This window comes from Homo sapiens, chromosome 4 (assembly GCF_000001405.40).
Source record: "Homo sapiens chromosome 4, GRCh38.p14 Primary Assembly".
Lineage (NCBI taxonomy): Eukaryota > Metazoa > Chordata > Mammalia > Primates > Hominidae > Homo > Homo sapiens.
In genome coordinates, this window is record NC_000004.12 from 54059307 (window position 1) to 54085192 (window position 25886).

General features: G+C 41.0%; 1 protein-coding gene across 4 annotated transcripts in view, besides 4 other annotated features; it reads right to left on the bottom strand.

Annotated features, from left to right (window-relative positions):
- Nucleotides 1-25886, bottom strand: part of CHIC2 (cysteine rich hydrophobic domain 2) — an 82091-nt gene that overhangs the window by 49518 nt on the left and 6687 nt on the right. For 3 of the 4 annotated variants that reach the window (XM_006714037.5, NM_012110.4, XM_011534382.3), the window contains exon 1: nt 4876-5299. In XM_006714037.5, the coding sequence (XP_006714100.1) occupies nt 4876-4994 (119 nt within the window). In that variant the 5' untranslated portion in view covers nt 4995-5299. Of the gene's footprint in view, nt 1-4875; nt 5300-5997; nt 7502-25886 lie in introns of those variants that run through there. The other variant, XM_047450063.1, reaches the window with a different exon arrangement.
- Nucleotides 4707-5207: an enhancer, noted in NCBI's record as "H3K27ac hESC enhancer chr4:54930180-54930680 (GRCh37/hg19 assembly coordinates)". NCBI's record gives its function as "activates a minimal SCP1, AML or CMV promoter by ChIP-STARR-seq in naive H9 embryonic stem cells {active_cell/tissue: H9 hESC(naive)}" and the evidence as "EXISTENCE:reporter gene assay evidence [ECO:0000049][PMID:30033119]".
- Nucleotides 5007-5136: a silencer, noted in NCBI's record as "silent region_15432". NCBI's record gives its function as "represses an Ori minimal core promoter by ATAC-STARR-seq in GM12878 lymphoblastoid cells {active_cell/tissue: GM12878}" and the evidence as "EXISTENCE:reporter gene assay evidence [ECO:0000049][PMID:35858748]".
- Nucleotides 5367-5606: a silencer, noted in NCBI's record as "silent region_15433". NCBI's record gives its function as "represses an Ori minimal core promoter by ATAC-STARR-seq in GM12878 lymphoblastoid cells {active_cell/tissue: GM12878}" and the evidence as "EXISTENCE:reporter gene assay evidence [ECO:0000049][PMID:35858748]".
- Nucleotides 7204-8403: an enhancer, noted in NCBI's record as "CDK7 strongly-dependent group 2 enhancer chr4:54932677-54933876 (GRCh37/hg19 assembly coordinates)". NCBI's record gives its function as "activates an origin of replication core promoter dependent on BRD2, BRD4, P300/CBP, MED14 and CDK7 cofactors, with strong dependence on CDK7, by STARR-seq in HCT116 cells {active_cell/tissue: HCT116}" and the evidence as "EXISTENCE:reporter gene assay evidence [ECO:0000049][PMID:35650434]".

Below are 25886 nucleotides of genomic sequence, written 5' to 3' on the forward strand. Positions count from 1 at the left end.
ACTTGAAGCCAGGAGTTCAAAACCAGCCTGGCAATACAGTGAAGCCCCATCTCTACAAAAACCAAAAAACTAATTTTTTTAAAAAATTAGCTAGGCATAGCAGCGTGTACCTGTAGTTCTAGCTACTTCAGAGACTGAGAAAGGAGGATCACTAGAGCCAGGAGGTCAAGGCCACAGTAGGCTGTGATCAGGCCCCTGCCCACCAGCTTAGGTGACAGGGAAAGATTCTGTCTCTAAAAAAAGAAAACAAAAATCTCTGGAGAAAAAAAAAAAAGTTATAAAAAAAAAATCTACCTTAATTTGATAATTTCCTCACAATTACCAGATTTCATTTTTTAAAACAGAGGAGCTATTTATCTTTTCAGTGTGATAAGTATTCTATTATAGAACATTGTTTGCCTTTGTTCGGAGGTGCAGAGAAGAAAACAGTGATTCATTTGGCAATTCTGACAAAATCCAAAGATGTATACAATTACTTCATTCATTTAGAAAATATTATAGGAACTATAATATTCTGGACACTATATTAAATAGTAAAGAAAGATCAATAGACACAACCTCTGCCCTCAAGAACTTATAGCCTGTGGAGATACATCAATGAAGCCTTCAAAAATTTCAAAACAGAAAGCTTAATCTTTAGAAATAAATAGAATGTGTCTTAAATATTATGCTGGGTGGGAGAAAGAAGTAGGAATTATAAAGTTTAACAAAATTGTTTTATTGACATGATTCTGTAATTTGGCAACTCACATTCAGGTCTCTTACTGCTAACCACAGCATCTAGCAGCAGTCCTGAAATACTGACACATTTCAAGACAATTTTTTACTAACTCTACCATTTGAAAGATCAATAAACACTAAGGTGTTCTTGTGATGTCTCTTATTCAAAAGTCATATTCCATCCCAGTGTAGTTCCCAAACATTTTCAAGTCACATTTCTAAATCTTTAATCTTCCATAACATATCTGGAATGAAAACAAGCAAAAAGTGGTTTCCGACAGCCATTGATAAAAACTGGTGTTGAAGGATAAGGAATTATTTGTGGAGATGGTAAGATTACACCTCAGAAGAGAGTACATGAAGACACGGTAAAATTACAAGAGAATAACATTAGAAACAAACCTCAGCAAAATAACTTGGCTCTATGATAGGGCTTGAGTTAGAAGTCAAAGATTATACATACTCTAGGAAAGCCCCAAGTTTGATTCTGATACAAGAAGGGTAGAAAGTGGAGATGGGAGCAAATAATGTCTGTTATAATGACAGATTACCTAGGAAATATTGGCCTAAAACTACTTTTAAATTCTAACTTTTAGACTGACACATCCTTTAGAGTTACCACTGTGAAAAACGAAACTCTTCAATAAATGATCAACATATTTTGCAAATATATTTTGAAGCATAAGGAACTCCATAATTTTAAAATATTAACCAATCTGGTCAAGACTACCTAATAGTCTTTTTACAGTATTACTGTTTATTTTAGAAACTATTTTTCCTCATCGTCAATTATATGAGAAGTCACCATGAAAGCAAAAAGGAAATCTACTTTTAATTGAATGGTGACTGTAAGCCTTTTAGGTTACATGTACCTAAATACTATGCAATAACAGGAATTTATCATTTATTTTCCTTCCTTCCAATACCACTTTCCTCAAAATATGCTTCTGCACAAGATTTCCCCATATTGCTACCTAGAAATCTAACAATGAAGGGAAATATTATACTTAAACAGAAGAATGTCAGAAAAGAATACTGATCATGAGAGAAGTATAAAAAGTAAGTCTGATTTGGGGGTCACGATGAAAACATTTGTATTTAAAAAAAGGAAAATATTTGCATTAAAAGCCACTTTAAAGCAGACTTTAGGCAAATTAAACATGTTGCATCCTATGTCACAAAAATCTGATTATGCCTAGAGACTAACCTAGAGAATGGAAGGTAACTTTCTTTCTCACATCACCACAATGACATGCCAATCACGTCACGTGAGAATACCAGTTTCTAAAATAAACAGTAATACTGTAATATATTAAAGTAGAAAAAAAGAGCAGAAATAGTCAATTGTAAAGGGCTACTCAAAAGTTACATCTGTGAAAAACATATGGATTGATCTATATCCTTCTAGACTGATCTAGACTACAGATGATTCAGTTTACATGGTCAATTACTTTCAAATTGGTAAGGGAAGACTGCTCTGATCAGCACCTAATAAAAAAAAAAGGTGGAGGAGGGGGTGTTAAATTTAGCCAGTCTTACTACAACTGTTCTAATAGCTCTTCCCATTTATATTTAAAGCAAGAAAAATTGAATGTGCTCAACAGTTATAGTAATACATATGCACCAATTCTAAAAACCTTTATAGATGTTAACTGGGCTACCCACTGGCATGGTGTGCTAGTGTGCCTGGGAATTATGCATGACAGAGCCATGTTAAAAAAAAAAGTTTTCTATTATTACCTATGTCGCCACAAAACAGGTTAAGTTTTCAATGCAGAAAGATCCTTATTGTCATCAAAATACTTCAAACACAGTAATTTAAGCACATACACATTGCTTAGAAATGGAAAAATAAGACTAAGGTGAATCATTGTTATGTTTGATAATGGCAGTTCTAATTTTTTAGTACTTTGTTTTACACCTGTTTCTCAAAGTGGAAAACTATATCTGAGGAGGAGAATAATAAAAACTAGTATCTATTGAACATAGTACCACACAGTGCAATAAATTCTTTTCATGTACTATCTCATTTAATCCTTAATAATCTTAAAAGGTATCGACTATAACTATCCCCATCTCAACTAAAGGTCATGAATAAACAATTTATCCAGGAAGTAGCTGAGATAGATTTTAACCCAGAGCCTAGAACCAAGATAAATGGGAGAAGAAGGAAGTTGCTGAGGAAAATCAGAGATTTAACTCACAATGTAGAAAGGCATACTGTTTATTGATGATAGATAGTCCCTCCCTATAACCTGGAATAGTTTTCAATCTTGGCTACACATTAGAATCACCTGTGAGATTTTATTTATTTATTTATTTATTTATTTATTATTTTAACTGTCCACTCCTAGGACCCTCACTTAGTATTTGGCCTTCAACTGGCCTGGGGTGGAGCAAAGACAATGGTCTTTTTTTAAAGACACCCAGGATTCTAATGGACAGCTAAGTTTGAAAACCACTAATAATTATTTTCTACCCTATTAACCTCTCCACGTAGCCAACTACAATCAAGTTTACTGATTACCTAGGTTCTGAGCACTTTGCCCACTATTGCATTTTCCACTTGCCCAACAAAGTGCTTAGCTTTTCTTCTCCTTAACAGAGGAAACATTACAACTACAGCGTCGCCTTTTTAAATGACAAAATTCTCTAGCTTTTCTTTGACATGAGGAATGTAGAAGGAGGGATAGATGGCATGACAAAGTTTGGAAATCACTTCTTTAAGCATCCACATACTCCTTAGGCTTAAAACAGTGCAAAAAGGTCCTAAAAGTCAAAATAAAATCAAATGGCAGGTTATGAATTCTGTGATATATGTTAAAAGTTTAATATCCATGATATTTGGTTATACTTCTTAAGCTGGTGACAACACTTAGAAAGTATTATTGTGGTGAATTAAATTCCACTGTCTTGTCATGGTGCTGTGATGGCAATTATGCAGTGTTTTTACCCTGTTAAGTCACCTGAACATAAACTAACAGGTACTAAAGAAATTAAAGCATTACATAAGCATACTCAAACAACAATATGGCTGGTCATACGAGAAATGCAATTATTTTGCTGACAAACTTATATGAGAAGTCTTACTGTTTCCCTAAGTTATTCACAGCACATCCCACTCACTCTTCACCAAAATATAATGAAGACTATTCCAGACATTCTCAGACTTGCTGGCTCTTTTGTTTCACTGAAAAGGTGAAGAAGTACAGAGATACCTGACAAGTATGGAAGTCTGATCTATTATTTGAACAAGAGATCTAAAATGAGAGAGTATCAATGTAATACATCAAGTGGTACAAAACTGTGGACTTCATAGTGAAACATTACAAAACTTCCTGCTTCCGGACAGCTCATTATTTGGTTCAAGGCTTCACATTCCTTTGTCATGGTCTTTCCGAAAGCTTTCATTCCTTATTAATATCAGACTTTTAATGTTACTAGTGGGACTTTCCAAATTAACAAGCCCCAAGTTCGTGCCCCAAGGAGGAGCTTCAGGACTACAATTTTCCCTCAGTAACCTGAGCAGAGTGTATGTCCCTCACGTAGTTGTTGTTGTTGTTGTTGTAAACATATTTCTTTCTGTATATCTTAAATTTGTGTTCAACTATATATTTTTATCACGTACAATTACAAGAACTTGCATTAGTTCTGCGGAAATTAGTGGAAAAACTGGGAGACCTGTGGGTATGTGTGAAATAGACACGAAACGGAGCTTCGCTGCCAATTGTCACTGGGGTCTCACACGGCCCAGATCTGGCCTCTGAGCCATGTCACTGGGTGCAAAGGCACAGACAACCACAGGGTAACTGGGCGAGAAAACAAGGAGGCTCCCTGTCAATACACGTACTTCCACCCTGAAGAGGAAGGGTGGCCCGCAGGGCAGACCCTAATGAAAACCCGTGCCTACTGGGATCGTCACATCGCCCGGGCCTGTAGGGCCTGCTAAAGGGGTGTGTGGAGGAGGAAGGACAGCGTCCGTCCCCACTTCGGAGACCCAAACAAATGAAAATAAGCCAAGTTCTCACTTCCTGGTTGCCTACTCTTTCGGAAGGCCCCCGACACCAGACGGACACAGGGGAAACGGGGCTCCCGTGGAGTAACGGGGCCCACCCCAGCCCGCACCTCCCGCCCTCGCCCTCCTCCGGGCCTTACACGGTGACGTGACCGGAGCCGCGGACGACCACCGGGTCCGGCGAGTACTTGAGCAGCTGCTCCTCCAGGGCCCGCTCCTCGTCCTCCTCTTCCTCATAGATTTCGTCGAAATCCGCCATCCTGAGCCTCCGAGCTCCCCTGCCCAAAGGGCCTGACTCCCGGGGTTGGCGCCGGGGTACCGGCGGGCGAGGCGGCGGAGGCTGAGGGGAGTCGCCGCTGCCGCCGGCTCCGAGGCCGCGGAGTTCGCTGTCGGCTGTCTCGGCTCCGGCTACAGAGGGGATGGGGTCTGGACCGTCGCCGCCACCGCCGCCGCCATTACCATCAGCAATAACAACAACACAATGTCAACATCCGCCCAGAGGCCGACACCTCCACAAGCACAGACGCCGCTGCCGCCGCCGCAGCAGCAGCAACTCAGGAAACCACAGCAACAGCCCGAGCCACCCGCAGCGGGAGCAGCCGGCTACGGCATCGCGAGACTTCCCGGGCCAACGGGCGGGCGGGCGCGTGCGTGGGCGCGTGGGCGAGCGGACTGGCTGGCGGGCGGGCGGGCGCGCGCACGTGCGGCCTCGCGCGCTCCCAGGCCACCGTCTTTCCTCTGCTTCTACCCGCAGACGGCGACCGGGGCGCGCGCTCCCGCCGGCGGGCCCCCCTCCGCCGACTTCTGGGTGGCGGACCCTGGGGGCGGCGGCTCCGCTGACTGGAGGCCGCGACCCGCGACTCCGACAACGCAGCTTGGAATGTCCAGTGGGACATGCAGTTCCCCAAAGTCATCTCTAACCAAAACAAACAACTGAAAAGAAAAGCCCTGGCTGGAATAGACACATTTTTGTGCGTGTCATTGCCAGTTTATCTAATAATCGCATCTCGCTTTTCCTCAGGTTTTGAGTCTATGATGAGAACCAGAGTCTCTTTTTTCCCAATTTGAGGAGTCCAGCAGAGACACTGCAAACATTTGTGCTCACCACAGGATTTTTCAAGACATCTCCAAATTCAAACATCTTATCCCTTGATCCCCTTAAGTATAATCCAATATATGAGGCCAGCGATGCTGGTATTTTTTTTTTTTTCTTACAAGAAATCTCACCGTAGTCATGCTATGAAAAAAAACTGATAAATTACCTGGATTCCATATTAGAAGATGCAGTTTCTTGCCCCAACTCTCTCACCAAACATAACCTGGTTTTTGTTGTTGTTTCCTTAAAATCTTAGGGAATTCCTTTCCTTTTCTTACCAGTTCCTACCACAAAAAAGACCTGAAAGAAAGGGCAGAGGAGAGGAAGAAAAGGAGGCAGGAAGGAAGAAAGGATAGAAGGAAGGACGAGAAGAATGAAAGAAGAATGGGAGAGAAAGAAAGAAGGGGAGGAAGGAAGGAAAAGGTTTAATGGAGTCTACTTAGCTGCCTAGTAACAGTTGAACGGTCACTTTGGGTACTTGGTTTCATTAAGCATATAAACAGCACAGGGGAAGGAGTGGGCTTCTGAGAAGAGAGTCCTGGACAGTGAGGATACACCATGGGAGAAGAAAGGATAGTTCTACTGAGCCCAGCGCTGGTCAGGCTCTTCAAGTGCAGTGTTCATGTCACAGTAGTCGGCTTTAGATGGGTCACTGTTGACGTGGAGAAAGTGCAAAGGAGGTCAATGAGGACAGTGAGAGATGCCAACCTCCTTTTGGAAACAACTGAAGGAAATGAGTGTGGTTAGCCAAGAAAAAATGAAGGAAAAATACAGTAGTTGTATCAGACTTATTGTATCCCTCCCTGGAGGGTATTTGTTCATTCAACAAATATCTACTGAACTCTAGCTATGTGGCAGGCACTGTGGACGTGTGTGAATGAGGCACAGGCCCTGACTTCTGGTAGCTTATCTATTGTTAAGGCAAGCAATTGTCATCTCTGCCAGGGGCTCATGGAGGAGGACACAGGAAGTGTCAGTGGGGCACACAGGAGGCAGCTTGGTCTGGTGTTTAACAATGTGTGTTCTGGAACCTGACTACCTGGCCTTGAATGTCAGCTCTGCCACTTACTGTGTGACCCTAGACAAGCCACTTAACTTCCCTGTTCAGTACCTGCCCCATTGGGATGCTCAGCAGATTCAAGGGCTTAAGATCGGTGAAGTGCCTAGAAGAAGGCCCAGTACACAATAAATACGGGGTAATAGGTGATGCTTAAGGCTCCCTAGCTTATCAACCCTGTGAGGGTTACCACAGCATTATGTAATATTTTACTGCTTATAAAGCACGTACATAATATATCATTTAATATTCCCCCAAGAACCTGTGAGGTAAGCAAAGAGGGTGTATTTATTTTCAGATATGCTATGTTTCAGAGATGCTATGATATGCTATATTTCAGAGATGCTATGTGGCTTTCTCAAGGCCATGTGACGATTTAAGATTTAATGGTCTAATTGAGTATACTGGTGGTCCAAGCTTTCCTGAATGTCTTTTTTTTTTTTTTTTTTAAGACAGAGTCTCACTCTCTCACCTAGGCTGGTGTGCAGTGGCACCATCATAGCTCACTGCAGCCTTGAACTCCTCAGCTCAAGCGATCCTCCCTCCTCAGCCTCTGAATTTCCTCCTTGGCAGGAACCAGGAGACTAGTGGCTGCACTCAGTTAAAGGAACAGCTGCAAATGGGAAGATAAGAAAGAGAATAAGAGGAAATAAGGTCAGTATGTCCTGGCACAGCCCACACCTGGCTGTGGCTGAGAATTCACCCTTATGTAGAAACAGTGGCCAAGATAAGGGGCTAGTGCCCCAAAGTATCTAAATCATCACATAGCTGACAACTTCCCAAAGACGGAGGAAGCCACACAGAGCTCCTTAGAACTCCAGCACCTTCCACAGTTCCTGCTTCAGAAAAGGAGCTTAATAAATGTTATCTGAATTGAGATACAGTGTTACTAGTGCTCTTTCCAGAACACTGTGACTTAATTAGGCTTCAGAGGACTGTGAGAACCTCACTCTTATCTTCACACTGGCTGGATGTGGGAGAAATGTTCTTATTCTAAGATCTATTCAACAGAGAGATCTTTGTAACTCCCACGGCCTGGGTATACGGTAGAGGCAGGGAATTGCCTTTTCTTTTTCTTTTTTCCTTTCTGTGTGTGTGTGTCTGTGTGTGTGTGTGTGTGTGTGTGTGTTTTCTTCTTTTTCCTGTTCTGAAAAACCTGTCAGAGCCAGCAAAAGGGTGTGGGACCTAGGAAGAAGGCCAAAGGGGTGAGCGAACATGAGTCAAACATTTTCCTGATGAGAGTTGACATCGTAATTCCAACCCTCCACCTCCGCCCTGCCAACCTTCCAAGATCCAGTTTCCTGTAAAACTCCTCCCCCAATTTCTTCCTGGAGATAAGCCACTTTTCCAGGATCCTCTCCCTCTGTGTCCAGGTACTCACTTGCACCCTGCTAAGTGCCCATCCCTCCATAGCCTCCTCTTCATTGGAGTTTCTCTTTATATTCTTGCCTCACATATTTTCATATTTACCTTTAGACCAAATGGCTCAAAACCAAACTGGATAATGTCAGGCCTCAGGAGTCAGCAAGACTTGTTTTTAAGGCAAATATTGCTTAGTTAATTCCTTAGACTTGAAAACTTCCCAGTTCCATTTCTACCTAGCAGAGTGGCCATTGGCAGCTTCACCTTTCTAAGCTTCCTTTTCTTCATCTTCAAATGGAAACTATGTCATGGGGTTCTGGAAGATCAAATGAGATCGTGCATGTACTATGGACTGAATTTTGTCCCCCCCCCCAAATTCATATGTTGAAGCCCTAACCCTCAATGTAATGGTATTTGGAAATGGAGCCTTTGGAGGTAATTAGGTTGAGATGAGGTCAAGAGGCTGGGGCCCTCATGATGGAATTTGTGCCCTTACAAGAAGAAATACTAGATAGTTTTCGATCTCTCTGTGCCATGGGGACACAGCAAGAAGACAGTCATCTGCAAGCCAGGAAGAGAACTCTCACCAGGAACCAAATCATCAGGAACTGTGAGCTAAATTTCTGTTGTTTAAGCCACCCAGGCTACGATGTACTGAATGTTTACATCCCCCCAAATTTGTATGTTGATATCCTAGCCCTCAAGGTGATGGTATTAGGAAATATTAGGGCCTTTGGGAGGTGATTAGGTTATGAAGGCTGAGCCCTCATGAATGGGATTAGTGCCCTCATAAAAGAGGCCCCAGAGAGCTGGTTTGCCCCTTCCACTATCTTAGAACACAGCAAGAAGACAACCATATACAAGGACGAAGCCCCTCACCAGAAACCAAAGCTACCAGCCGTTTGATCTTGAACTTCCAAGTTTCCAAAGCTATGAGAAATAAATGTTTGTTTATAAGTCACATAGTTTATGATATTTGATTATAGCAGCCCAAAGGGACTAAGACACAGTCTATGGTATTTTGTGTGGCAGCCTATTTGTGTGGAAAATACACTCAATGTGCTTTTTCCTATTCTCCTGCTTAACAACAACAACCAACACAGAAGACTCTCTGTGACCAGATGTGTTGGGGGGTTTTCTCCACCAACAAGCAAGCAATCAGTTCTGCAGTGGGCACCAGCTGTATGTCCTAATTCAATTCCAGCACTCTCTACCTGGAGATAGCATCAAATCCCACAGGTTGAGGGCTCAGTCCGCAAGACTGCACCCTCCACTTCAAACACCAGTCACAAGTCCAGGTCTCCAGAACTTCTGACTGACCAGCTATAAATTGGGGTTCCCACAACACCCTCGTCAAGTTCAACTAATTTGTTAGAGCGGCTCACAGAACTCGGGGAAACAGGTTTACCAGTTTATTAAGAAGGATATTTCATTTCATTTCATTTCACTTATTTATTGAGACAGAGGTACAATCACCATTCACTGCAGTCCAATAGTTATTTATTTATTATTTATTTATTGAGACAGAGGTACAATCACCATTCACTGCAGCCTCAACCTCCCTGGGCTCAAGCAATGCTCCCACTTCAGCTTCCCGAGTAGCTGGGAATGCAGGCATGCACCACCACATCCAGCTAATTTTTATATTTTTTGTAGAGATGGGGTTTCACCATGTTGCCCAGGCTAGTCTCCAACTCCTGGGCTCAAGTAATCTACCCACCTTGGTCTCCAAAAAGTACTGAGATTATAGGCATGAGCCACCACACCCAGCCAAGAAGGATCTTTTAAGGGTTACAAATAAACAGCCAGATGAAGAGACACAGAGGGTGAGGTCTGGAAGGGTCTTGGGTGCAGGAGCTTCTGTCCCCGCGGAGTCGGGGTGCTCTGCTTTCCCAGCACACGGATGAGTTCTTGTTCATCTCCCTGTAATCCTCCACGTGTTCAGCTGTCTGGCAGCTCTCAGAACCCTGTTCCTTCAGGGTTTTATGGGGCTTCATTACGTAGGCATGATTGATTACACCGCTGGCCATTGACTTAATCTTCAGCCCCTTCTGGTGATCAGCTCTCATCCTGAAGCTAACTAGGAGCTGCCAGCCTACAGTCAACTCACTAGAATACAGAAAGACATTGCTTTGGAGTTTCTAAGCATTTTAGGTGTTGTATGCCAGGAAACAGGGTCAAAAACCAAATATGTATTTCCTGATATCACACAGCCCAAGCTGACTTGAGAAAGCATATAAACCCTCATTTGTTCACTCATTCATTCATTCAACAAATTTGCATTGAATGCTTCTCATGTGTCACATACTGTGCCAGGAACTAGGGATTTAGCAGTAAACCAAACACAGCCCCTGCCTTTGTGAGCATGAAGTCCACTGGGGAGGACTGACAGATAATTATAAAAATAAATAACTATTAGAATTGTGATCAGTTCTGTGGAGAAGCACAGGGGTCCATGGGAGTAGTAAACCCACCTAACTCACTCCAAGAAATCAGGATTTATTCTCTGGGAAAATGACATGTAAGCTGATGAGCTAAGCAAAGGTATGGAGGTAGGGAAGTAGAGAGAAGAGAGGAGAAAGCTCCAGACAGTGGGAATAGCATGTTTAAAGACCTTGAAGTAGAAAAGAGCACAGCTCAAATGAGGTAAAAAACAAAGCCAGTGTGGGTGGATCATAGTGAGGAAGGCAGAGCCAGATTGGAGTTGAGGTCAAAGAGGCTGGTGGAAACTTGATGGCCTTTGTAAGAAATCTTAAATGCATGCCAAAAGTAAAGGAGCGGAGGATGTGAAGCCAGGCAGTGACATTATCAGATGTGCATTTTTATTATTTATTTATTTATTTATTTATTTATGTATTTATGTATTTATTTATTTATTTATTTTGAGACGGAGTTTACTCTTGTCGCCCAGGCTGGAGTGCAATGGCACAATCTCGGCTCACTACAACCTCCACCTCCCGGATTCAAGCGATTCTCCTGCCTCAGCCTCCTGAGTAGTTGGGATTACAGGCATGCACCAGCACGCCTGGCTGATTTTTGTATTTTTAGTAGAGACGGGGTTTCACCGTGTTGGCCAGGCTGGTCTTGAACTCCTGACCTCAGGTGATCTGCCCAACTCGGCCTCCCAAAGTGCTGAGGTTACAGGAGTGAGCCACCAGGCCTGGCCAGATGTGTATTTTTAAATCCCCAAGTGGGAGACCAGTAGTCCAGCCTAGCCTGCCTGCACCACTTCCCAGCCTGTTATTCTGTAAATGGCACACATTCTGTAACAACACTCTCAGGATTTTTAGTAAATCATATCCCCTCCATCCTCAGTACATGTGATTAGGTTAAGCTGACCATATCTCCAGTTCCAAGAGTGGGCATCTGACCTAAAATGTTCAGGTTGTGCCCCAACCTTAGAGTTTTTGGTGCCCGCAGTATAAGTAATAGAAAATAGCACTTCTGCTCCAATGCTTTAGGATTGATGTATGTGCAATACAACTATGCAAAAGGCCTTTAGAGAGCAACAGAGATCCTCTTCGCCTTCCATACAACTGTGGCCACTAAAGGAGAGGGAAGGAAGATGATCTAAACTAGGCTGGGAGCTTCCTGAGAGCAGAACCAATTATGCTTGGAGAAAAAGCTAAATGTGTATATAGATTAAGCATCCTTAATCTGAAAATCCAAAGCTTGAAATGTTCCAATGAGCTTTTCCTTTGAGTGTCATGTCAGCACTTAAAAAGTTTCAGGTTTTGAAGCATTTTGGATTTTGGATTTTTAGATTAGGGATACACAACCTGTATAACACATATAGTATTCCAAGCACTATTCTAAGCACTTTGTACAAATCAACCCACTTAGCCTTATAAGCCTTGTAAACATTCCTATAACATAGGTACCGTTTTCATCCCTGTTTTAGACATTATAAAACTGAAGTACAAGGAAGTTAGGTAACTTGGCCAAGGCCACACAACTAGGAAGTGGTAGAGCCAGAACTTGAACTCAAATAGGATCTTTCCTCATCCCATAATCTTACCACTATGCTACACTGGTCTTAAACACCACTAGAGAAATATTTGGGTTCCTTACATCAGTCTTCCTAACACCTACAACAGTACCTGCCATATAATTAGTGCTTAATAAATATTAAATGGGGTCAAGCACAATGGCTCACGCCTGTAATCCCAGCACTTTGGGAGGCCGAGGCAGGCAGATCACGAGGTCAGGAGTTCGAGACCAGCCTGGCCAGCATGGTGAAACCCTGTCTCTACTAAAAATAAATACTAAATGGATGGCTACATGTATAAAATCATATTTTCCAGATCATTTCATACCATGTGTACACATTTGGTTCAAAATTTGTCCCTAAAATGTTGTTATAATAAATCTATGAAATCCATGTTGTTTCTCTTAGATTCTCCTGGAGTAATATCTAAATCTAAATAATAATAATACCTATAAAGTATCTAATTTAGGCTGGGTGCGGTGGCTCACGTCTGTAATCCCAGCACTTTGGGAGGCCAAGGCGGGCGAATCACGAGGTCAGGAGTTCTAGACCATCCTGGCCAACATGGTGAAACTCCATCTCCACTAAAAATACAAAAATTATCTGGGTGTCATGGCGCGTGGTGGTGAGCACCTATAGTCCCAGCTATTCGGGAGGCTGAGGCAGGAGAATGGCGTGAACCTGGAAGGGGAGCTTGCAGTGAGCCGAGATTGCGCCACTGCACTCCAGCCTGGGCGACAGAGCAAGACTCCATCTCAAAAAAAAAAAAAAGTATCTTTTAAATCAACACCATAAATATAAAATACTTAGTTTATGTACTTAGCTCTCTTCACTACCATCTTTTAAGTTCACGACAATCTGGAGATTACTACTAGAATCATAGGTTCATAAAACCAGAATGAACCCAAAAGTCATCTGGCCCACACTGGCCTTCAAAACCATGTACCAGTCTGCATCACACGGTACTTCCTTCTTTAGCTGAACAACTACAATAATTGTATTAAATATCTATAGTATATTGAGCATATACAAAAATATTATGTTCTTCCACATAAAAGACTAGATTCTTTAAGGTCTAGAACTATGACTTAGTTATTCTTGTAATCTAAGCCCTTGACTATTGCCTGGAATCCAAGAGTCATTCAATACGTCTTCATCTGTTAGTTCTGGTTCTTGTCTCTGAGGACACACAAAACAAGTCTACTTCTTCTATATGATGGTCCTTCAAATATGTTAAGATGTGCGCGTCTGGGCGTGGTGGCTCATGCCGGTAATCCCAGCACTTTGGGAGGCCAAGGCGGATGGATCACAAAGTCAGGAGATCAAGACCACCCTGGCTAACACAGTGAAACCCCGTGTCTACTAAAACTACAAAAAATCAGCCAGGCATGGTGGCGGGCGCCTATAGTCCTACTTGGGAAGCTGAGACAGGAGAATGGCATGAACCCAGGAGGCCGAGCTTGCAGTGAGCCGAGATCGTGCCACTGCACTCCAGCCTGGGTGACAGAGCGAGACTCCGTCTAAAAAAAAAAAAAGATGTTCACATCCCAAATCTTTTTTGTTTGTGAGCTAAACATGCCCATTTACTTCAACCATATTTCCTCCTGGAAGGGAGTTTCTAGTCCCTGCCTCTTTGCAGAGGCAGTCTCTCACTCCCATCAGCCTTGGTTTGGTCAACAGCCTTCTTAACATTTGGGGCTCTGACTAGATGGTGTGACTTAACTATTGTGATAGCCAGCCTTCAGGATGGTCCCTGAGAGACTCATCAACTTGTGTGCAAGCCATTCTATAGTTCCCTCCCACACTGAATAGAGGTGACCTGTGTGACCAATAGGATTTGTGAAAGTGACAGTATATGACTTCCAAAGCTAAGTTATAAAAGACATGACACATTTTATCTTATTCCCTTAAATAACTCATTCTGGAGGAAGCCACTCACCATGTCATGAGGACACTCAAACAGACCTATGGAGAGACTCACATGAACAGGAACTGAGGCTTTCTGCCACTCATGGGAGTGAGCCACCCTAAAATTGGATCCTCCAGCTCCAGCCAAGCAGCCCCAACTAACATCTTGACTGCAACCCCAGACCACCCAGCCATTCACCAATTCCTAACCTCCAGAAACTGTCAGAAATGACAAATGTTTATTGTTGTTTTAAGCTACCAAGTTTTGGGGCAATTGGTTATGTAGCAATAGATGACTAATACAGCAAGGCTAGAAGAAAGAGGGACTTAGCCCTTTCTTCCTGACCCTGGATATCATAAGAAACAGTAGAAAGACAAAGAAAAATAGATCAAACTATTAATTTTTAAAGTCGTAGGTTTTAGACCGGGCGCAGTGGCTCATGTCTGTAATCCCAGCACTTTGGGAGGCTGAGATGGGCAGATCACAAGGTCAAGAGATGGAGACCATCCTGGCCAACTTGGTGAAACCCTGTCTCTACTAAAAAAAATTCAAAAATTAGCCGGGCATGGTGGTGCACACCTGTAGTCCCAGTTACTCAGGAGGCTGAGGCAGGAGAATCGCTTGAACCCGGGAGGCGGAGGTTGCAGTGAGCCTAGATGGCACCACTGCACTCCAGTCCGGGTGACAGTGAGAGATTCCATCTCAAAAAAAAAAAGTCATAGGTTTTTTTCTCTTCTGTGTCTGTGTGTAAAATTTAAGGGATATTTTTAATTAAGTTGTGTTATGTCTCTGTTAAGTGCCATACTTAACTTAGACACTTAAAACATGGCTTTTAAGACACTGGTTTTCACTTTTAAGATCTGAGAGGCACAAGCACTTTCTTTTGGCCCCTGAATGCATGCTGAGAAAATCTACTCTTTATCCTTTGGAACTCTCACTTGAAGTCAATGGCCTTCTTACACACCAGTGTTAAGATTTTCTGTAGTTCTTTGCACATGGTACAGGGAAAAGTTGGATTTAATAGTTATAATCATGTTGGCCTTCTCACTTAATTGAGATTAGGAAGTACCCAGCTTCATCTGGGAACTCAAAAGAGAAGTTGTTTCTATGTTCTCCCACTGCCATCTCCACCTACAACACACAAACACACACACACACACACACACACACACACACACTGGCCTTACTATGGTGTTTCTTCCCTATTTTTAATTTTTTCTTATATTTATGTGATTTTTTTTCTGAATATGTCTACTTTTTGAATTCATACTTTTCAAATTTCTTTCTTTTCTACTTTATTGGCTAGTATATCTCAACCTCTTCTTAACCTGAGTGACTCTTAGGTAGAACTAAAATGTTTTTAAAAATTCTCAGCTGGGCACAGTGACTCATGCCTAAAATCCCAACACTTTGTGAGGCCAAGGCAAGAGAATTGTTTGAGCCCAGGAGTTCAAGACCAGCCTGGGCAACATGGTGAGACCCTGTCTCTACAAAAATACATTTTTAAATTAACCAGGTATGGTGGCATGCACCTGTAGTCCCAGCTACTCAGGAGGCTGAGGTGGGAGGATCACTTGAGCCAGGGAGATCAAGGCTGCAGTGAGCTGTGATTGTGCCACTGCACTCACCTGGGCAACAGAGTGAGACCCAGTCTCCAAAAATGAATAAAAATAAAATAAAATAAATTCTCTCAAGTCAGTTAACTTTAAGGTGTCAATATCCAGGGTATAACCTTGCTCTCAGTGACATTAAGCACATAAAGAGATACCTGAATTTGAGCTTTGAGGATCATCTGGTGACTCTGCACTTGATATATTTAAAGATATCAATGTGTCCTTTGAAGCTATAATGGACTATGAGGTAATCTGAAGGTCCAGAAAACTAAATACACGTTAGTTACTGGACGAATAACTTAGTCTTGGAGAAACAAAATAGTTTTAAGTGAACGTCTTCAGAAATCTTGCTATTATCTTTTTATGCTGTAGTTAATCACACCATTGGAGGATATTTGGATATGAACATGTAAAGGAATGCAATATCTTTATTCAGAAAAATAAGGGGAAAAATCAGGCAAAGAAAAAAGTAGAAAAAATATTTATTTATTTTTATTGTTATTTTGAGACTGAGTCTCACTCTATTACCCAAACTGGAATGCAGTGGCTCCATCTCAGCTCACTGCAACCTCTGCCTCCTGGTTTCAAGCAATTCTCGTGCCTCAGCCTCCTGAGTAGCTGGGATTACAGGCACCTGCCACCATGGCTGGCTAATTTTTGTATTTTTAGTAGAGATGAGGTTTCACCATTTTGGCCAGGCTGGCCTTGAACTCCTGACCTCAAGGCCCGCCTCGGCCTCCCAAAATGCTGGGATTACAGATGTGAGCCACTGTGCCGGCCATATTTATATCAGTATTTACATACTGCTTAATATTTTATAAAACATGTTCATTTGCAATGTCACATCTGACCCTCACCATACCCCAGTGCTGTAAACAGAGAGATATTCATCCCATTCTATAAACTTCAGAGAAAACTTAAGTTAAATGACTTACTCAGGCTGGGCATGGTGGCTCACACCTGTAATCCTAGCACTTTGGGCAGCTGAGGCAGGAGGTTTGCTTGAGCTCAGGAGTTCAAGAACAGCCTATGCAACATAGCGAGATCTTGTCTCTACTAAAAATTCAAATAAATTAGGTAGGCGTGGTAAGGCACAGCTGTAGTCCCAGTTATTTGGGGGGCTCAGGCAGAATTGCTTGAGCCAGGAAAGCCAAGACTACAGTGAGCCATGATCATGCCACTGTAGTCCAGCCTGGGCAATAGAGTGAAAATCTGTCTCAAAAAAAAAATTAATTAATTAATTAAATTAATTTTTAAAAATGACTTACTCAGCTCAGATGGCCCCTAAAAGCTGAAATACAACTAAGGTCTAAGACTTCTGCTGTAGGTAAATGTTTCTACTGCAAGGGAGAAAAGATAAATAAGAAGGAAAAAATATAAGCAATGAGAAAATAAAGCTAACTGGTTTTACTCAGTATAATTAGCAATTGTTGAGTGGTTATTTTAAAAGTCTATATGCTTCCCCAAAGATTTTACAATCCCATGATGATATTTAAGAAACTGGGCATTTCTCCATCAGCCAGGAAGGACATTGGTGTTGAGGACAATAACTACCACGGCTTCCAGTGTTTTGAAGAAATTTCAGATGCATAGCCTTTTGGCCAGGTGTCTGTGATTTCATATTGTCAGAGCATTTCTTGTAATGCTGGGGGTTGCAGCTCTCTTAAAGTTTACATTGCTGAACCAAGAAAGCAGATATATGTAGATTTCTACAGAAACTATGATTCCATGAAAGATTTTGAGGAGGTGAAGAGGGCTGGTACCTTTCAGAGTGCAAAGTGATTTTGGAATGTTAAGAATGTTTTGGGATTGAGTTCCTCAGAAGTTTGTCACTGACCTATGTTCCTGAACTATGAAACATGAATATGTGGGCTAAGGAATCATTTGTACTGATAAATAAACAATTAAAAATTTAAAAAAAGAAACTGAGGAAACTGGGTTAACTCAACAATTGTCATCCTTGTTATCATCTGTGTAATGCAGCTAATTATAGTACTCATTCATAAAGTTGTTGGGAGGATTAAAATGATACAATATATGACAAGTACTCAACGTTAGTTGTTATTGAGGGTGTTGTTATTTTAATCAGGATGGACAAAATTCTAGATAAAGAGTAGAAGATATGCGTTTTCATGCTGTTATAATCAGCCAACTATAAATTCTCTTCCTTCAGTTCTTTTTTTCTAGAGAATGAAGACAATATTCCTTTCTAGTTGCCTCCTTCACAGAAAAAATTCACCAGAATGGATTATGTTCTCAGCACCGTCAAAGCCTTGTAGAAACACAAGAAGATCCTGCAACCATTTTTCTCTTCCAGTCTTTCTCCTTGCCATTCTGAGCAGAGCCATATTGCAGTGCAGTGGAAAGGGTATATGAATGGTCATTCATTCAGACTTACATGGCTGTCTGGCAATTTAAGAGTTCAATGGCTGAACTGGAAAGAACAGCCAGCATGATTTTATTGTTTTCTGAGAATCAAATGAATAGTTCACACTATCTATGCACCTATCATCTAAGGAACAGACAGGTTATTTTGCTGAGGATGAGCATAGTCACTAGCCTGTAAGAGGTTTCTCCACAAGAATATGCTTCCTCAAAATGTACTTGCAAGGCTGTTGAGGCTACTACTCACCTTAGACATGATCCCACTTTGGCTCAAAGATCCCACTCTGCCAGTGGTTCTGTTAGGTCTCTATAACTTCATTTCTATAGCAGCCCTCCTGCCACCCGGCTGCCAACTGTGAGGACCTGTTGTTCAAGGGCGTATCACTTGAGCAGGTGAGCATTCTTATTAGTATCACAGAGCAGCTATCATTCACAATTACAGCATGAATGTTGACTAAATCAGAGACCATTCAAACCCACCTACACCCTGTGACATCAGCATGTGGTTCTATTCTGCCCTGCCTGATTTTAGATGCTTTAGGAATGATGTAACTTGGCAAAGAAATCCTAAGTCAAAATTTTTTTGATGATAATCTCAGATCAACTGAGAATGATGCCAATCAACCCATGAATGTAATGTGTCTCACATGTGGGATTCTATAATTAGTGCTTACTAATAGAGGTTTCTTCAAGTTACTGAAATGAGTTTACAAACTTTAGGTAGCTCAGGACCCTACCCTCATGTATATGTGAGATTTCATTTTTATAAATGCCACTGTCAAAGGGTCAGATGTTGCTTTTTATTCTCGTTGCTAGGATGGTCAAAATCAACATTTTGATGGTTGTGTTGAACAGAGCAGTCCAGTCAGATTTAATCCAGTCATATTAGGATCATGCCATTAGAGAACAGTTCCACAATCTTTTCTAATTCCTCTTTTGTTTCTGGATCATAATTAAAATAATATAGGAACAACCTTATTAATAAAGCTTGAATTAGTTTGTCTGTATTGAGCTGGCCTTTCATTTTTCTGTCATACAACCTTAAAAGATCTCTCATGATTTATTTATTTATTTATTGTTTTGAGACAGAGTCTGTCTCTGTCCCCAGGGCTGGAGTGCAGTGACACGATCTTGGCTTACTGCAACCTCCGCCTCCTGGGTTCAAGCGATTATCTGGCCTCAGCCTCCCAAGTAGCTGGGATTACAGGCATGCACTACCACACCCCGTTAATTTTGTATTTTTAGTAGAGATGGGGTTTCGCCATGTTGGCCAGGCTGGTCTCAAACTCCTGACCTCAAGTGATCTGCCCACCTTGGCCTCCCAAAGTGCTGGGATTACATAAGTGAGCCACCGTTCCCGGCCTCTCTTATGATTTGTTAACTATTATCTTTATGTTTTCCTACATGACATTAAATTATACAATCTTTGAAATTTTACTATATACTTTCTTTTCCATGTTAGTGTTAAAACTTCCCCTTACAGAGCCGGGTGCGGTGGCTCATGGCTGTAATCCTAGCAATTTGGGAGGCTGAGGCAGGCAGATCACTTGAGGTCAGGAGTTCGAGACCAGCCTAGCCAACATGGTGAAACCCCGCCTCTACTAAAAATATAAAAATTAGGCAGGCATGGTGGTGGGTGCCTGTAATCCCAGCTACTCAGGAGGCTGAGGCAGGAGAATTGCTTGAACCTGGAAGGCAGAGGTTGCAGTGAGCTGAGATTGCGCCACTGCACACTCGAGCCTAGGTGACAGAGACTCCATTTAAAGCAAACAAAGAAACAACAACAACAACAAAACTTCCCCTTCCAGAAAACTTTTATCCTTTCAGACTTAAGCTAAAGTCTGAAACCACAAAACTCCTAGAACAAAAAATAGGGGAAAATTTCCTTGACGTTGTTATTGGCAATGATTTTTTTTGGATGTGATACCAAAAGTACAGGCAATAGAAACAAAAATAAAGAAGTAGTACACTGCATCAAATCAAAAAGCTTCTGCACAGCAAAGAAAACAAGCAACAAATGAAAAGAAAACCCACAGAATAGAAGAAAATATTTAGAAACCACGTATCAGAGAAGGGGTTAGTATTTAATATAGAAAAAGAAGTCATACAACTCAATAGTGAAAGACAAAAAACCTGATTTAAAGATAGGCAAAGGACCAGAATAGACATTTTTTCAAAGAAGATGTACCAATGTCCAGCAGGTATATAAAAGGTCCTCAGCATTACTAATCATCAGGTAAGTGCAAATCAAAACCACAATGGGATATCACTTCACACCTGTTAGAATGGCAATTATTAATATTTTCATCCCTGAGAGGTCTCAGAAATAAAAAAAAACAAATTAAAAAATAAAAATTTTTTAAAATAGAATGGCTATTATCCAAAAGATAAAAGATGAGTGTCTGCAAGGGTATGGAGAAAGGGAACCCTTATACACTGTTGGAGGAAATGTAACTTGGTATAGCCATTATGAAAAACAGTACGGCAGTTCCTCAAAAAATTAAAAATAGAACTCCTATATGATCCAGCAATCCCACTTCTGGGTATGTAGTCAAACAAAATGAAATCGGTATCTCAAAGAGATATCTGCATTCTCATGTTTATTGCATGTTATGATATCAACTTAAGTATTCATCCACAGTTAATGGATAAAGAAAATTTGGTATATATATATACATATATATATGTGTATATATGTGTATATGTATGTGTATATATATATGTGTATATATATGTGTATATATATGTGTATATATATATATATTCAGCCATTAAAAAAAAGAAAATTCTACCATTTGTGACAATGAGGACATTATGCTAAGTGAAATAAGACAGACAAAGAAAGACAAATGCTATATAATCTCACTTATAGGTGGAATCTAAAAAAATTGAACTCACAGAGGCAGAAAGTAGAATAGTGGTTTCCAGGAGCTGAGGCAGGGGTTTGGGGTGCAGGGTAAGGGGAAGAGATGGGAAGATGTTGGTTAAGGGTACAAACTTTCTGTTGAAAGATTAAAGAGCACTGGGGTCTCGGCTGGGTGCAGTGGCTCATGCCTATAATCCCAGCACTTTGGAAGGCTGAGGCAGGTGGATCATCTGAAATCAAGAGTTCAAGACCAACCTGAGCAACATGGTGAAACCCCATCTCTACTAAAATACAAAAAATTAGCTGGGCGTGGTGGCACACACCTGTAGTCTCAGCTACTTGGGAAGCTGAGGTATGAGAATTGCTTGAACCCAGGAGGTGGAGGCCGAGATCGCACCACTGGACTCCAGCTTGGGCTACAGAGTGAGACTCTGTCTCAAAAAAAAAAAAAAAAGTACTGGGGTCTCTAATGTACAGCATGGTGACAATGGTTAATACTGCATTGTATACTTGAAATTTACTGTGAGAGTAGATCTTAAGTATTCTCACCACACATGGTAACTATGTCAGATAATGGATGTGCTAATTAGCTTGATTGTGGTAATCATTTCACAATGTGTGTGTGTATATATATATATATATATATATATATATATATATATATATATAAAATCATCACACATATACCTTAAATATATACAATTTTTATTTGTCAATTAAATATATACAAATTTTATTTGATTAATATCTCAAAAAGCTGGGGAAAAAAAAGACTTAGGTCTGAATCCAGATTCCACTGCCTATAAATTAAGACCTTGGGCAAATTAGTCCTTTATTTGTTTCTTTTCTTTTTTCAGAGACAGGGTCTCACTATGTTACCCAGGCTGGCCTTGAACTCCTGAGCTGAAGGGATCCTCCTGCCTTAGCCTCCCAAGTAGCTAGGACTACAGGCACACACCACTGTGCCTGGCTTCAAATTACTTCTTTGAATCTTTGTTTTCTAGTCTATAAGATGGGCATGATACCCTTCTTAATCTTTATTGTGATAGTTAAATGTAATAACATTACAAAATGCTTAGTAGAGTGTCTGGCATGGCAGACACTTGATGAATGATACTTATTATCGCTATTATTCTCATCATCTAAGATACTTCAATTTGATGTAGTCAAATATTCTATTCTACTTATCTACCTCTCTAAGTGAGGGCTACTCTGTAACATACTGCTATGGAAAGATCAGGAATCTGCCCTAGACATGTATAAATAAGTACTTTATGCCCAAATGAGTATAAATTTTACCTCTGGTATAATTTCTATGGGGAGATAAAACTTTAATTGCCATATAGGAAACCACTGGTGAATTTGGGATGATTTGATGTGCTTGTTTTGGGTTGCTTGTTGCTGTTGTTGTTGTTGTTGTTGTTTTTAGAGATGAGGTCTCACTATGTTGCCCAAGATGGTCTCGAACTCCTGGTCTTAAGTGAGCCTCCTGCCTTGCCCTCCCAAAGTGCTGGGATTATAGGTGTGAGCCATAGCACCCAGCCTAAGTTTTTACCATTGGGAAGCAAATGTTTTGTGGAGAAGCCATAGTTTTGAATAGCAATTTAAAGATGAAAAATAGATGATAGAGGTGGAGAAAGGTGTCAATGGGAAACCCCACATATGGTAAGATAACTATGTGTGCCATGGACCACAAACAGGCTAGCCTGGTCGAAGCAAAAAGGTTGATCCCGAACATAATGGGATGAGGGCATTAGATAGGTAAGGAAGTGACTGATGGAAAATCAAGAGTGATAGCTGATGATGAATGGTGATACTGTATATGATTTTGTGCATTGATATACCATTTTTCCTTTCTTTTTCCATCTACATGGATCTCAAAAATGAGCAATCTTCTCTCTGGAGGTGGATAAGACAGAACATTTTGCAAGCCCTTTAAGTCCTTCAGGAAACACAAACATCCTGTGATCTGTCACTCAGGATTCTGACTCAGACTGGGAATCTGAGCAATGCTCATGGCAATAAGCCAGGACCAGGCCCTAAACATCTGGCTGCTCCACTGTATGGATCTTTGGCATGTTAAATGTCAACAGACCTTGTGGATATAAAGTTGACTCAGTCAGAAAACATCTACGGTCTACATGGAAAAGAAAGTCTTTTGGAAAGAAAAGAAGGCAGGGTGTCTGAACCCTCCATCAGGATTTCCCTACTCCACTCTATTTCTATTAGATGAGAGGGATGAGGAAAGAGTACTCAGCCACCTTTTCAAGTCATCTGGTGGTCAGGGCTATTTGTAACTCTAATCTCATATTCATACCAGTCGTTTCTAAATCCAATCCCATATTTACACCAACCTGTCTTACAACCTTAATTTGGTTTCCCAGGTGTATTCCAGTTCCACTGTCAAATAGTAAGTACTGGATTATCCCTAGATAGACTCACCAAAAGATTATACAAGTCCTTAGAGGAGGGAAGTGAGACTGTAGAAGAGACTCAGCATCCAACAAATATATCACATAATATATTCAAACTACTCTAAGTACTACACCAAAACAATGACTTTCCTGACCACCATCCTAACCATGACACCAACCCTGGGTAATTTCATCTCATCATATTGCTTCAAATATTATATATGCTTTAAATAATATAGGCTGATGCCATTTTTATTTCTACTCTCACTTTCTTTTTTCTTTCTTTCTTTTTTTTTTTTTTTTTTTTTTTTTGAGACTGAGTCTTGCTCTATTGCCCAGGCTGGAGTGATCTCGGCTCACTGCAACCTCTGCCTCCCGGGTTTAAGCGATTCTCCTGCCTCAGCCAGCCAAGTAGCTGGGATTACAGGGATGTGCCACCTCACCCAGCTAATTTTGTATTTTTAGTAGAGACGGGGTTTCACTATGTTGGTCAGGCTGGTCTCGAACTCCTGACCTCAGGTGATCCACCCACCTCAGCCTCCCAAAGTGCTGGGATTACAGGCATGAGCCACCACGCCCAACTCCAATCTCAATTTCTGTTAAATTCAGATCCATATTTCCAACTGCTACTCTACATCAAAAATTTCCTCTTGGCTATTCTTATAGCACTTAAAACTCAAAATGTTTACAACCAATTTATCTTTTTTCTGTTCCATTCACTCTATCTACAGTCTCATCTGAAACAACAAAAAACTGCTTATCTTTCATCTGTAACCACTATATTTGTTAACACAATCATATTCAATACAGACACCTGAGCTAGAAACCCAAGTCCCCACTGACCCATTTGTCTTTCTGTACCCCTGTCCTATCTAATTAGTAACCAAGGCTCATTGGTGCTACCTTCCAAATTACTCTTGAATTTATTCTCTCCTCTCCATTCCCACCACTACTGATTAATGTGACACTTATCATTTCAAGTCTGGACTTTGGTACTGGACACTAACTGTCTCTGGTTTCTCTCTCTTCCAATCCCATCCTTTACAATGATTACAATATAATCATTTCAATTTTCTGCTTAGCATCCTTCAAAGACCATTCATCTTACTACAGAGGCCTTCATACTTCTTCACCTGCCACTCACACTCTTTGCTTTCTGCCACTAAGCAGCCCTTCCTGCTTCTGTCTCCTGCATGCAGCTTAATGCATATCCATCCTCTGGGCCTGTGCTCACTCTTGAAACTTTGGCCTAGAAGTCTCTTCTCCTGCTGTTGTTTTTACTCTGAGCATCTCCTAGAAATAGTTCAAGCCTCAGTCTCAGAGTCCATGATGCCAGCAGGAAGAAAGAACAGATCTCTCCTCCATGGTTCCACAGTTGTTGCATGCCACTATCACACACTTACTTGAATTCATTGATGGCTATGGTTAGGTGAGCCACTGTGCCCAGCCCGGGGTCTAGTCATCTTTGTAGCCCTAGTACCTAACATATGTAGGCACTCAGTAAATAATGGTGAATTAAACTAAATTGAATTTTAATAGCAACTGTCTCCTATTTCCAGAAGTTCCTCTAACAATATGATGCAGGCCTTATATTTAAAAGTAGCCATTATTCTGATAAGTTTTATATTTTGTTGACAGCTAAGTACACTAAGAGTCCTGTCTGGATAAGGGTCATTCTTTGGCCAATTTAAATGGAATTGTGATTATATTAGGCCCATATTGTTTGGAATCTAACTAACTTGTCTGATCTCAGAAAAATTACAAAAAAAAAAGAAAACACAGGTAAAAACCCCTCTCAAGGACAGCAATGACATAGTTAACTTTGGCTACCAATGCACCTTCTACATTCATAATTATTGTCACTGATGCTTTAGAGCACCCAGAATAGTGAAATAGTGTATAACTGAGACCTATTAAATTCTAACAGGCTAAGCACAGTGGCTTACACCTGTAATCCCAGTACGTTGGGAGGCCAGGGCAGACAGGTCACTTGAGGCCAGGAGTTTGAGACCAACCTGGCCAACATGGTAAAACCCCAGAAAGCAAAAAATTAGAGTATACTCAAAAAAGTATAAAAAATTAGTCAGGCGTGGTGGTGTATACCTGCAATCTCAGCTACTCGGGAGGCTGACACATGAGAACCACTTGAACTCAGGAGGCGAAGGTTGCAATGAGCCAAGGTTTCACCACTAAACTCCAGCCTGGGAGACACAGCCTTGCTCTGTCTCAAAAAAAAAAAAAAAAAAAAAATCAAACAGGTAGCATAGAGACAAAATCTGTGAAAAGCTAAACACTGAATTGATATAAATAAAGTGTTCTACTCCTTATCTCAAAATGTTAAAGTGCTATATTTTCCCCACTCACATAAAAAAGTAACAATTTATGTCATTCAAATGATAAAGAAATAACTCATTTATTTTATTAAATATGAATGTCCTTAAGGAACAAGTATTATCTTTAA